We start from the raw sequence: 11,014 nt of genomic DNA, 5'->3' as shown, positions 1-11,014 counted from the left end.
GAAGAAAATAAGGCATTTAGGTTTTAGGTCAGGTGTGAGTCGAAGGGGTTTTACGTTTTTAAGAACACAGGCTAAGGGAGAAGATGGGGGAATGGAGGGTGGAAACTTGCCCATAGTGAAGGAGGTAAGTTTAAAGAGAAAGGTAGAGACATGGAGAAGGGGGGTGGGGAGCAGCCCTGGGCTGCAATGTGGGTGAGCAGCCAAAGCAGGCGTCCTCGCAATTGACTTTCCACCAACGGAATGTGGGTGAATGACCAAAACAGGCATCCCTGCGGTGATCAGACACCAATAGAGTGTGGGTGAATGACCAAAACAGGCACCCCTGCGGTGATCAGACACCAATGGAATGTGGGTGAATCATCAGGCAGGCATCCCCACCAGGATTAAACACCAAGGGAAGACTGTCTTCCCGAGTCTGTGACTGGCGCCAGAGTTTTGGGTCCACGGATAAAATGTGTCTCCTTTGTCTCTGCTAGAGAGGAAAAAGAACTGGAATTAGAGGGACAGGGGGATTGAAGGGTAGTGAGAGAGGCTGGAGGAGAGAGTGAAAAGACTGCTTACCCAATTTGAAATTGGTGAGATGTTCCTTGGGCTGGTTGGTCTGAGGACCTGAGGTCGTAGGTGGATCTTTTCACGGAGTGAGGGTGAGGACAGGGGACTGGTCTCCTGAAGGAGTCCCTCTGACCCGGGTCTTAGGCACCAAATGTCACACGTGTCCATGTAAAGAGACCACCAAACAGGCTTTGGGTTAGCAACAAGGCTGTTTATTTCACCTGGGTGCAGGCGGGCTGAGTCCGAAAAGAGAGTCAGCAAAGGGTGGTGGGATTATCATTAGTTCTTATAGGTTTTGGGATAGGCGGTGGAGTCAGGAGCAATGTTTTGCTGGCAGGGGGTGGATCTCACAAAGTACATTCTCAAGGGTGGGAAGAATTACAAAGAACCTTCTTAAGGGTGGGGGAGATTACAAAGTACACTGATCAGTTAGGATGGGGCAGAAACACATCACAATGGTGGAATGTCATCAGTTAAGGTAATTTTCACTTCTTTTGTAGATCTTCAATTGCTTCAGGCCATCTGGATGTATATGTGCAGGTCACAGGGGATATGATGGCTTAGCTTGGGCTCAGAGGCCTGACATGGTGTACTCTGTGTAAAGTGGGGAGCTAGTTATTTTGCATAGGGCAGTCCATGGTCAGGATTTGCCACTGTGCCATTTTAGCCAGCCACTGTGGCTCTTTCAAGACACTAAATATGGCTCAGACTAGGGACAGTGATTTGCACTGTTTACCTGTGATATCTGTCTCTGGGTTAAATATGGTATATAAGTTATGTACGCCATTTTCTTCCCCTGGATGACCATGGATATACTTATCCTGCAACTTATTTCCTTCATTAATATAAAGCCATCATGGTGGCTTTAGATATCCATGCCAAAATGGCACATGTTTGGAAGACTCTTTATCCCAACTTCAGGCATCACCAGTTAAGGGAATCTCCTGCTTTCATGGACAAATCTAGCTACCTGATTTCTGGCTTCTGGTTTTTGAAGGTGCTGTTCAAATACAGCCAAGTCTGTATTTACCTGTCTATTGTTTACCAGCTCATAGAGACATAGATTAAGTCCATAGACAAATGGGTGGTAAATGGTGCTTTTAAAAAACATAAATAGGGCTGGGTGCGGTGGCTCATGCCTGTAATCCCAGCACTTTGGAAGGCAGAGGAGGGTGGATCACAAGTTCAGGAGTTCAAGACCAGCCTGGCCAACATGGCAAAACTCCGTCTCTACTTAAAAATACAAAAAATTAGTCAGGTGTGGTGGCGGGTGCCTGTAATCCCAGCTACTCAGGAGGCTGAGGCAGGAGAATCGCTTGAACACGGGAGGCAGAGGTTGCAGTGAGCAGAGATCATGCCACTGTCCTCCAGCCTGGGTGACAGTGCAAGACTCCATCTCAAAACAAAACAAAACAAAAACAAACAACAACAACAAAAAACATAAATAGTGGTGTCATTGCCTACTTTCACCCCTCTGAATTTGTATGCTGAAAAATACAATAGCCATTCAAAACACTATACATTCTACAGTAATTACAATTTCTACTCGTAATATTCCATGAGTTGCCCAACTTTACTGATAAACTCTAATGCTATCTGTATCTAAAATAAATGATAGGATGTATATTAATACCTTGAGGACTCCTTCCCACAGCAGAGGGTGCAGCCCCAAGCTAGAGAGGAAAATCATACAAGAGAGTCTTGGCATCACCTTTCTGTACAACCAGGTTCCCCAAGCACCTGGCTCCTTCAAAATAATGGAGATAATCAAACAACATCAGTTGCCTCCCTTTCTTGTTTCATTGTATCCTCTGAACTCTGCCATAAACTCCATTATGCATGCCAAAACTCTAAAATGTGGAACAACATTGTTTCTCAGAAGGCATTGTGTTACTGAAGAATCCAGGCTCAGGTTCGTTGGAAAGGGAATGCATTAGGAGAGATTTTCACCTACATAGCATCTTTGGTGTGTCAATACTCCAGTGAAACCCTGCCCACATTCACCTCTTCCTTTGACCTTTCTAAGGAGTTAAGGGCCCTGCTCTATCATTCTCACTACTATTCCAGTTAAAGCTCATCAGTTCCCTGGGAGGTGAGATCTGGCAAAATATATTCCATCTAAGGATCACAAGCTAATGACAATGTCAAATAATTAGGAAAACTCAAATTTGCTTATTCTTGTTTACTGTTTACCTAGAAGTTGGCGTTAGAATGATTTGGATAACATCAACATTAGTTTTATTTCATGAATTATTAAAACCTTAGATTGAGTCACAGTGAACTTGCAGGGATATTTTAATTCAGTATTGTTTGCAATCAGCACAGAAATAATGGAAAACAATTTATGATGAGACATTTTTAGTAAAGGTGTCATTTTTATTATAATAACATCAAAAATAATCTCTCTAAATAAGATGGAGTTTGTCATGTTAACTAAATTAAAGCATCAATTTTTTATAGGCAACAGGAAATATGACTACTGAATTCTTATTCCTATAATAGAAGAAAAGTATATTAGAAATTATCATTCCGAAGAAATGGAGACATGATGAAATGCATGCAAATGCCATAGTCAATTATAAACTAGAAATAACATCTTAATAAGGGACTGATGTTGTCAAATAATACTTGGCTGCTTTTCACATCAATATGAAAAAGAGAAAAACAACACAGGCTGCAAAGGCCCAAGGGAAAATAATACCTCTGATTTGTCTTCCACTGATTGCATTATACAAGGAAATTGCTAAACAATATCTTTGTTTTTTTGCCAATGCAAAAAAAAAAAAAAAAAAAAAAAAAATATATATATATATATATATATATATATATATATACACACACATATATAAAACTTAAAAATTCGTGTCCAGATGCGGTGGCTCATGCCTGTAATCCCAGCATATTGGGAGGCCAAGGCAGGTGGATTTCCTGAGTCTAGGAGTTCAAGACCAGCCTGGACAACATGGCAAAACCCCATCTCTACAAAGAATTAGCTGGGCGTGGTGGCACGCACCTAGAGTCCCAGCTCCTGGGGAGACTGAGGTGGGAGGATTGCTTGAACCCAGGAGGCAGAGATTGCAGTGAGCAGAGATCGCTACTGTACTCCAGCCTGGGCAACAGAGTGAGAACCTATCTCAAAAAAAAAAAAAAAAAAAAAAAAATCATATTATATCCTTTAGTACACACATGTATGCATTTTTGTTGGGTACACACCATGGAGTGGGATTTCTGGATTATAGGATATGTGTATGTTCATTTTAGTAGAAAATACAAAAACTGTTCAAACCCATTGTATCAATTTATACTTCCCAAGTAGTGGATGTAAGCTCCAGTTTCACTATATCCTCTCCTGTATTTTTACTTGGCATTACCAAGTAAAATATTTGATTTTAGTCATTTCCTAATGAATATTAAAGTTGAGCCACTTTTTACAGGTTTTTTTTTTCTTCCCCCGAGACGGAGACTCTCATCGTCACGCAGGCTGGAGTACAGTGGCGCGTACTTTCGCTCCAACCTCCGCCTCCCGGGTTCAAGCGATTCTCCTGCCTCAGCCTCCCGAGTAGCTAGGATTACAGGCGCCCGCCACTACGCCCAGCTAATTTTTTGTATTTTTAGTAGAGACGGGGTTTCACTATGTTGGTCAGGCTGGTCTCGGACTCCTGGCCTCGTGATCCAACCGCCTTGGCCTTTCAAAGTGCTGGGATTACAGGCGTCAGCCACTGCGCCCGGCCTTTTTACAGGTTTAATGGCTACTTTTCTAACAGTTTTTGTGAAGTGCATTTATAAGCCAGTTTTTTCTCTGAGTTGTCCGTTTTATCCAAGAGCAAGAACACGGAATGAATGATAATTCTACATATGCGGGGCATTTGTAGGCTTTTAAATTCAAGTTCAGTTCAAATGAATTAGGTTTAAAATAAATGTTTAAAATAAATAAATTAGGTTTAAAATAAATTAGGTTTAAAATAAATAAATTAGGTTTAAAATAAATTAGGTTTAAAAGAAAATAAAATAAGTGTTTTCTTTCAGTTCAAAGTAATTATCTACCTACTTTTTCAGCAGAAGGGCTTGTGTCACTACACAACAGTATAAATTCACAGTATATAGCTTTGGAGAATGATTGGGACAAGAATTGCTTGATGACTGAATAATGAGTTAAGTGGACTGATGTTTTATGTTTATAGTGTGTTCCTAATCATTACTGGAGGCCAAAACATTGTTCAAAATACAATGTGAAGGCCATTCTCTTTACCAGAACTGCTAGAAATAAGTGGTGGGAAATATTATTTGATGAGCTATCTAAGACGAGAAGAGAACACTGAGGATTGTGCTTGAGAAGATACAGAGGATCTAAATGGCTCACCAAGGCTCTCCGGCACCAAGAGGTAAATGCAGGACCTCTGTTTGACTGAGTTGAGTATGAATTTCTTGAATCAGAGAGAAAAGATGAGGCTGACCTCTACTAACAGTAGGCTTCCTGGGTCTTTCTGTTCTTTCTTTCTTCTGATTAAATATTAGATAAATATGCCAATATATTGGTTTGAAGAGACACAAGCATATTAACTTGCTAGGGAACACCTGTATCTCTTTCTCCACATGTACCTAGTCTAATGTGTTTGGTTTTAGATTAGTACATACGTTTGGCAAATATATAATATTTTTTGTGTATGTTTACAAAAGTAATACTGTGCTATGGATCAAAAAGTTTTGACCAGTTTATACATCTATTAACAGTGTATGGGTGAACCTGTAACCCTACATTTTGATGACCACTAACATTTTAATATTTTAACATTTGCTAATCTGGTAGATAGATAAAAGTATGATTATTTTATTGTGAATTTATTTAATTAAGAGTGTCTTAGAACATCTTTTCATTATTTACTGGTCATTTTCATTCTTTTCTGTGAACTTCTATTCATGTCTTTTGGCCATTTTTCCATTGGGTTGTTGACTCATTGATTTGTAAGAGTTTCTTTTCAGTGAAAGGAATTCCTTAAGTAGCTATAACATTAGCTGTATGTATTACATATTAATTTCTAAGTTACTCATCTGTTTTGGGTACTAGATACAGTTGATTTATCATATCTGTGGGTTCTACATCTGCGGATCAAAACTATTTGGGGAAAAACAATAAAATAATACAACAATACAAAAGTAATGCAAATTAAAAAACCAATATAGTATAACAACTGTTTACACAGCGTTTACACTGTATTAGGTATTATAAGTAACGCAGAGATGACTTAGAGTATACAGGAGAATGGTATAGGTTTTATGCAAATACTATGCCGTTTTATATAAGGGACTTGAGCATTCAAGGATGTTGGTATCCATGGGGTTCCTCGAGCCAATCTCCCGCGGATACTGAAGAAAAACCGTATATCATATTTTCATGTAGTGAATGTATCATATTTTTAATTTTATGCTTCATGAGTACATGCATCTTTGCCGTGATGCATTCAGAAATTATGCTTATGTTCTTCTTTTTCCATCCTTTGGGCAGGTTAAAACCCTGCAACAGAACTGAATAATCATTTTAGGCTCTCAGCAACTTTTATTCTGCCTTATCATCTTGCTGCTGATCTCATTTTTGATATTGCCATTCAATAAATATTAACTGAGACCCTACTATATGCCTCGGCCTGTGCTATAAATTGGAGATGAGAAAAACCACTGGCTAAACTAGAGAAACATCGTAAAATACAGTGTACCCTAAGCCACTCACCTTGACCTTTACTAATTTTGTGAAAAAGTACTACTTATTAAATCATTTTATTCTCATCATCCTTCAAAAAATATTCAGCTTGACCCAGAAGATATTTATAAATATTTTTAAAAATTATTTTTCACTCAATTACATTCCTAGAAATGTTAAATGTCTACTTACATCATTTTTGTTGCATGCAGGACTAGCACTATATTTATTAGTACAGGTTACACTGCCATAGCAAGAAAACGCCTTTTTAGGTAAATTTTCCTTTAGGCAAATGTCAGAATTGGGTCACATGGTCATAATCAAGTTGAAGTAAGGCTGAGAAATCTCATGCCTGCCTGGACGGCCACATTATCTGCTAAAATATCAGTGAATTCTATGATTAAAAGAAAATAGAGATATTCAATACTAAGGGACAGCAGCTTCTACCATAGTCCATTTGTGTGGTAAGTCAGTTGTCTCTTTAGTTTTTTCATTCCACATGAAGGATGAGAAAAATTCATGTGGGATGAATTGTTGGACCCTACATTGTTCATCCTTTAGGGCCCAACAATTCTGAGCTTTTGGCTAAGAATCTAGAATCTCTACATGAGGCAAAGTTCTTTCCATGGGTTCTAACGTAGCTTCTTCTTTTTCAATGACCTATATAGATTAGTAGATAATGCAACTGCCACTCAGTGTATCAGTATATACTGATATACAATGGTATATTGGAAATAAAATAGAATGAAATAATAGAATAGAATAGAATGGAATGGAATAGAATCAGGGTAACTGCGATAAAAATTATTACTTAGAAAAGGGAAGAATGGAAAACATAAAAACTCACTTTTCTGTAGCTTTGCTGAAATCTTGCAGGACAAAAATTGCTAAGATTCTCTAGTGGCTACCTGCCAGTAAGTAACTTGATATCGTTAACTTACTTGAACTTGGCTCTGCTCCCTGGGATACTCCCCTGTGCATTGTCTTTTTGATCTCCTGTGATATTAAACATGTACTGTACATGTACATGTATCTAAGTGGATAACAATACAATTCATTTTGTCATGAAAGAGCTGTGTTTTCAAAGGCTTTTAATAAGGTTAAAAAAAAGATAAAATTCCTCTTAGAAAATAACACTTAGCAGTTAATGACATCAAAGTCATATTGACTAAAGAAGGAAAATAGCAACCAATTGTTAAAGCCACCTTAACATAAACCTTATTGCAAGTATACACATCTTTTGAACACAATCTATAGAAAAGAGAATAACTTCCAAGGCATTACAACTTTTTCTCTGGCATGTTAAAAAACAACTCTGACTAATGGCTAATGCATTATAAAATTTCCTATCTGACAAATCTTTCTAGATTATGCATAGTATTTTACTTTTGAAAGGTCATAAAAAAGATATAAATCAGTTTCCATAAGAGCTAATATTGGCCCATAACGAAAGTTTCCTTCAGGTTATTTTAATGTATTAACGTAAGAAAACTCCAGGTGAAGAAGAATTTCAAGCCAAAACTAAGCATTAAAAAATAGGCGTTTGGTTGAGGTTAATTTTTTTTTTTTTTTTTTTTGAGACAGAGTCTCTGTTGCCCAGGCTGGAGTGTGGTGGCGCAATCCTGGCTCACTGCAACCTCAGCCTCCTGGGTTCAAGCAATTTTCCTGTCTCAGCCTTCCAAGTAGCAGGGACTACAGGCGTGCACCACCACGCGCAGCTAATTTTTTTGTATTTTTAGTAGAGGCGAGGTTTCGCCATGTTGGCCAGGCTGGTCTCGAAATCCTGACCCCAGTGATCCGCCTACCTCATCCTCTCAAAGTGCTGGGATTACAGGTGTGAGCCACCGCGCCCAGCCTTAATTTTCAAAAGACAAATAAGCAAAAAGCTTTTCCCGTTCCTCTCCCAAAACAGCAATGAGATAACTGCCTTGTAATGTTTGTTTGCTTTTTACAAATACCAATTTACCACTTGCTGGAATCCCAGCCCAGGAACCAGCCTGTGAATGTGGGTGGCTCATGGCCCTGTTTTATGATGACAATTGGTGTCCTCTTGTCTCTTCCAGAAGGGTCTGTCTCAAGGTACATTTTGGCTAAAAAAAGTTGTAAAGACATATAAATTCAGTTAGTTTGGGTTAAACTAAAGTAACTGCAGATTGAAAATTCTTCGAATAAAAGTAATGAATTAAATTTCCAGAAGAACAAATAAATATTGGCTACATTGAAAATGAAAATTCTTCGAATACAATTCTTCAAATCAAAGTAATAAATTTCCATTGACCAGGTAGACAAATACAATTTCTTTTTGATTTCTCTCGTCTGCCATGAAAGGCAACATGTGAATCTCATTAATGCCTGAAAGAATTCCAAGTTTTATGGAATTGTCCTTGTGGCATAATTATTGTTATACGTTTCAGTAAAAGGAAAATTGTGCCAGAAAGAACAGCATAGTCAAAAGGAAGTTTAAAAAATCTGGCTTATCACAGTCATGGAGGTTTTACTCTTATAATAAAACAAGGGTTGAAATTAATTTAAGTTTTCAGATTAAATTGATATAATTCTATTCTAGATTAGATAACAAAACATATTGTTTTCTTGTGCCCATTTGGAAATTCTCCAGTTCAAAAAATCCCATTACTCTTTAGTTTTGAGGAGGAATGCTAAGCTACTTCTTGATTTTGAAATGTATTTTTGTAAGACATGGTGGCAAAGAGCAAGCCAGACACTCGGTCATAATGGTGCCCGGTTACTGCTATAATGGTCCATCGATTGAGCTTACCAGACTTCAGAGATTCTTTTTTCTCAACTTCATTAGCATCTTTGCCAATCCAAATAAATATCTGAAAAATGAAACAATAACAATATGTATGATTTCTGGGATGTTGACTCAGTGCTAGGCCCTATGTAAAGTGCTTCACACACACATTGCTCATTCAATCTTCACAATATCCGCAGAAGTTAGGGACGTGGAGGTGGTGGCCCAGAGAGGTACCATCACTTTCCCAGTGTTCACACTCATCAGGAGACACCTAAATCTACATCCAGCCTGTTTCACTTCAGATTTCACACTTGGATATTTTATGTTTACATGGTACTTTCTAGTTTGTAAAGTGATCTTTCACAAAAAAAAACAGATTGTCTGGGTGGACTTTTTTTTTTCATCCACCCCCTAGGGTGTGACAGCAGTCGAAGGAAACCAAAATATTTCACCTCCGAATACACTTCTTTGACATATTTCGAGATGGCTGTTCAGAGGACTTGCAAACAGAAATAGCCCTGCAAATCTGCCTTTTGTAGGGGAAGATCTGCATCTGTAGAGAATCTGCAGTGGTGCAGCCGGACTTTCTTTGAGGCCCTCCCTTTTCGGGATCTAGGGAAGATTAACTGAGAGTATCACACTCTTAAAGGTCTGAAAGAAACATTTACCATCTATACTTTATGTGAGGTTTTATCCATAACAAGACCATCTTTCCTAGCCAGGCCTCTTCTCTCCCTCCCATAACCAGTTTTGCCATCCTGCAATCCCCCATTCTTTCTGTAACTTCAAAATGGTAGAAAAGCATCAACCATCCAGCCATTTATTTAGTTCTTGCATTCTGTATGACTCCTGTGAACATTAATATATTTGTATGCCTTTTCTCCTATTAATCTGCCCTTTATCAACTGATTTTTATGTGAACCTGTGGACAGTGAAGGGGAAATTTTCCCTTGGCCCTTACACAGTCATTATCCCCATTTCCTAGAGGTGGATCTTGGCTGGAAGAGACCACATGTAGACCACGTGTAGAGCTTGTCTGTGGGTGATCCCAGACTCCCTCTAGGAACCTTTGATTTAAGGTTAGTGTTTTTCTCCTCTAGTAGCTTGCCCTCCCTATAAGATGTTGGTACAAATGCTATAATGTTTAGTATTTAAATAGCAATGTGTTTTTTAAAAAATTGATATAATTATACAATCTGTATATATCCTCCTCCTTGTCAAGTGTGTGGGTGGGGGTACTTGAATGCTGAAAAAAATGTCCTGAATTACCTTATTTTTGAAATCACTTTAAAATCACTTGTGGCAGAGCAATTTCGGTCACTTACATTTAGATTGTGTTCTATTTCATACTGAAAGTGCTGAAACATTTGTGTGCAGGGAACAGAACAAACCATGAAAGCATGGTAATGTAAATAAAAGGCATGATTTTAAAAAATGAAATGTGGCATGGGAAATCTTCCAAAAAGTACCCATGATTACAGAAACAGGAGTTGACTGCAAATGAGAAAAATTAAATATATATCTGAATAAGGAAGTGTAATTCTTCTTTAATTCTTAAATACACAAGAATGTTTTATTGACCTGGAGATTTAATTCTCATCTAGAAATAAGTAATCCATTCACTTGGCAAGAATCTGAGCCTGGGCCCTCAAGTCAAACATGGTCATTGTAGATCAGAAGCTAGGGTGTGATATAACTGAATGGTTTATTAATTGGGAACAAACTTAAAAGGAACAATCTCTGTGCTTGACTCTACGACTAGGCCTAATTCAGATAAGCATTTCACACTTGTTCTATATAATTTAGTTCATAATATATTTACTTTTCTCTTTCACCGTTAATTTAGAGGTTAAAAACCTATCAGATGTGGCACGTCAAATCACCACTAATTTCCTTGAAAATTAAGATAAATAAAACAGGAACATATTTTACTGTGTAGATTCAAAACTATTCTGCCTGTTTCTTCCCCAGGGGAGGGCTACCCATGACTTCTTGTCAAATTTCAAAAGAAA

General features: G+C 38.0%; 1 protein-coding gene across 3 annotated transcripts in view, besides 1 other annotated feature; it reads right to left on the bottom strand.

The window, feature by feature from the left end:
* Positions 1-550: an enhancer, noted in NCBI's record as "OCT4-NANOG hESC enhancer chr7:12700000-12700549 (GRCh37/hg19 assembly coordinates)". NCBI's record gives its function as "activates a minimal SCP1, AML or CMV promoter by ChIP-STARR-seq in naive H9 embryonic stem cells {active_cell/tissue: H9 hESC(naive)}" and the evidence as "EXISTENCE:reporter gene assay evidence [ECO:0000049][PMID:30033119]".
* Positions 743-11,014, bottom strand: part of SCIN (scinderin) — an 89,463-nt gene continuing 79,191 nt past the window's right edge. For 2 of the 3 annotated variants that reach the window (NR_156701.2, NM_001112706.3), the window contains 2 exons: positions 9,024-9,084; positions 743-8,337 (listed from right to left, as the gene is read on the bottom strand). Coding sequence is in view for 2 of the 3 variants with exons in the window: in NM_001112706.3 (NP_001106177.1) it covers positions 8,210-8,337; positions 9,024-9,084 (189 nt within the window). In the remaining variant the exon portion in view is untranslated. The remainder of the gene's footprint in view (positions 8,338-9,023; positions 9,085-11,014) is intronic. The other variant, NM_033128.3, reaches the window with a different exon arrangement.

The sequence above is a fragment of the Homo sapiens genome, chromosome 7, assembly GCF_000001405.40.
Source record: "Homo sapiens chromosome 7, GRCh38.p14 Primary Assembly".
Lineage (NCBI taxonomy): Eukaryota > Metazoa > Chordata > Mammalia > Primates > Hominidae > Homo > Homo sapiens.
The sequence above is the reverse complement of the archived record's forward strand: the minus strand, read 5'-3'. Positions and strand labels throughout refer to the sequence as shown.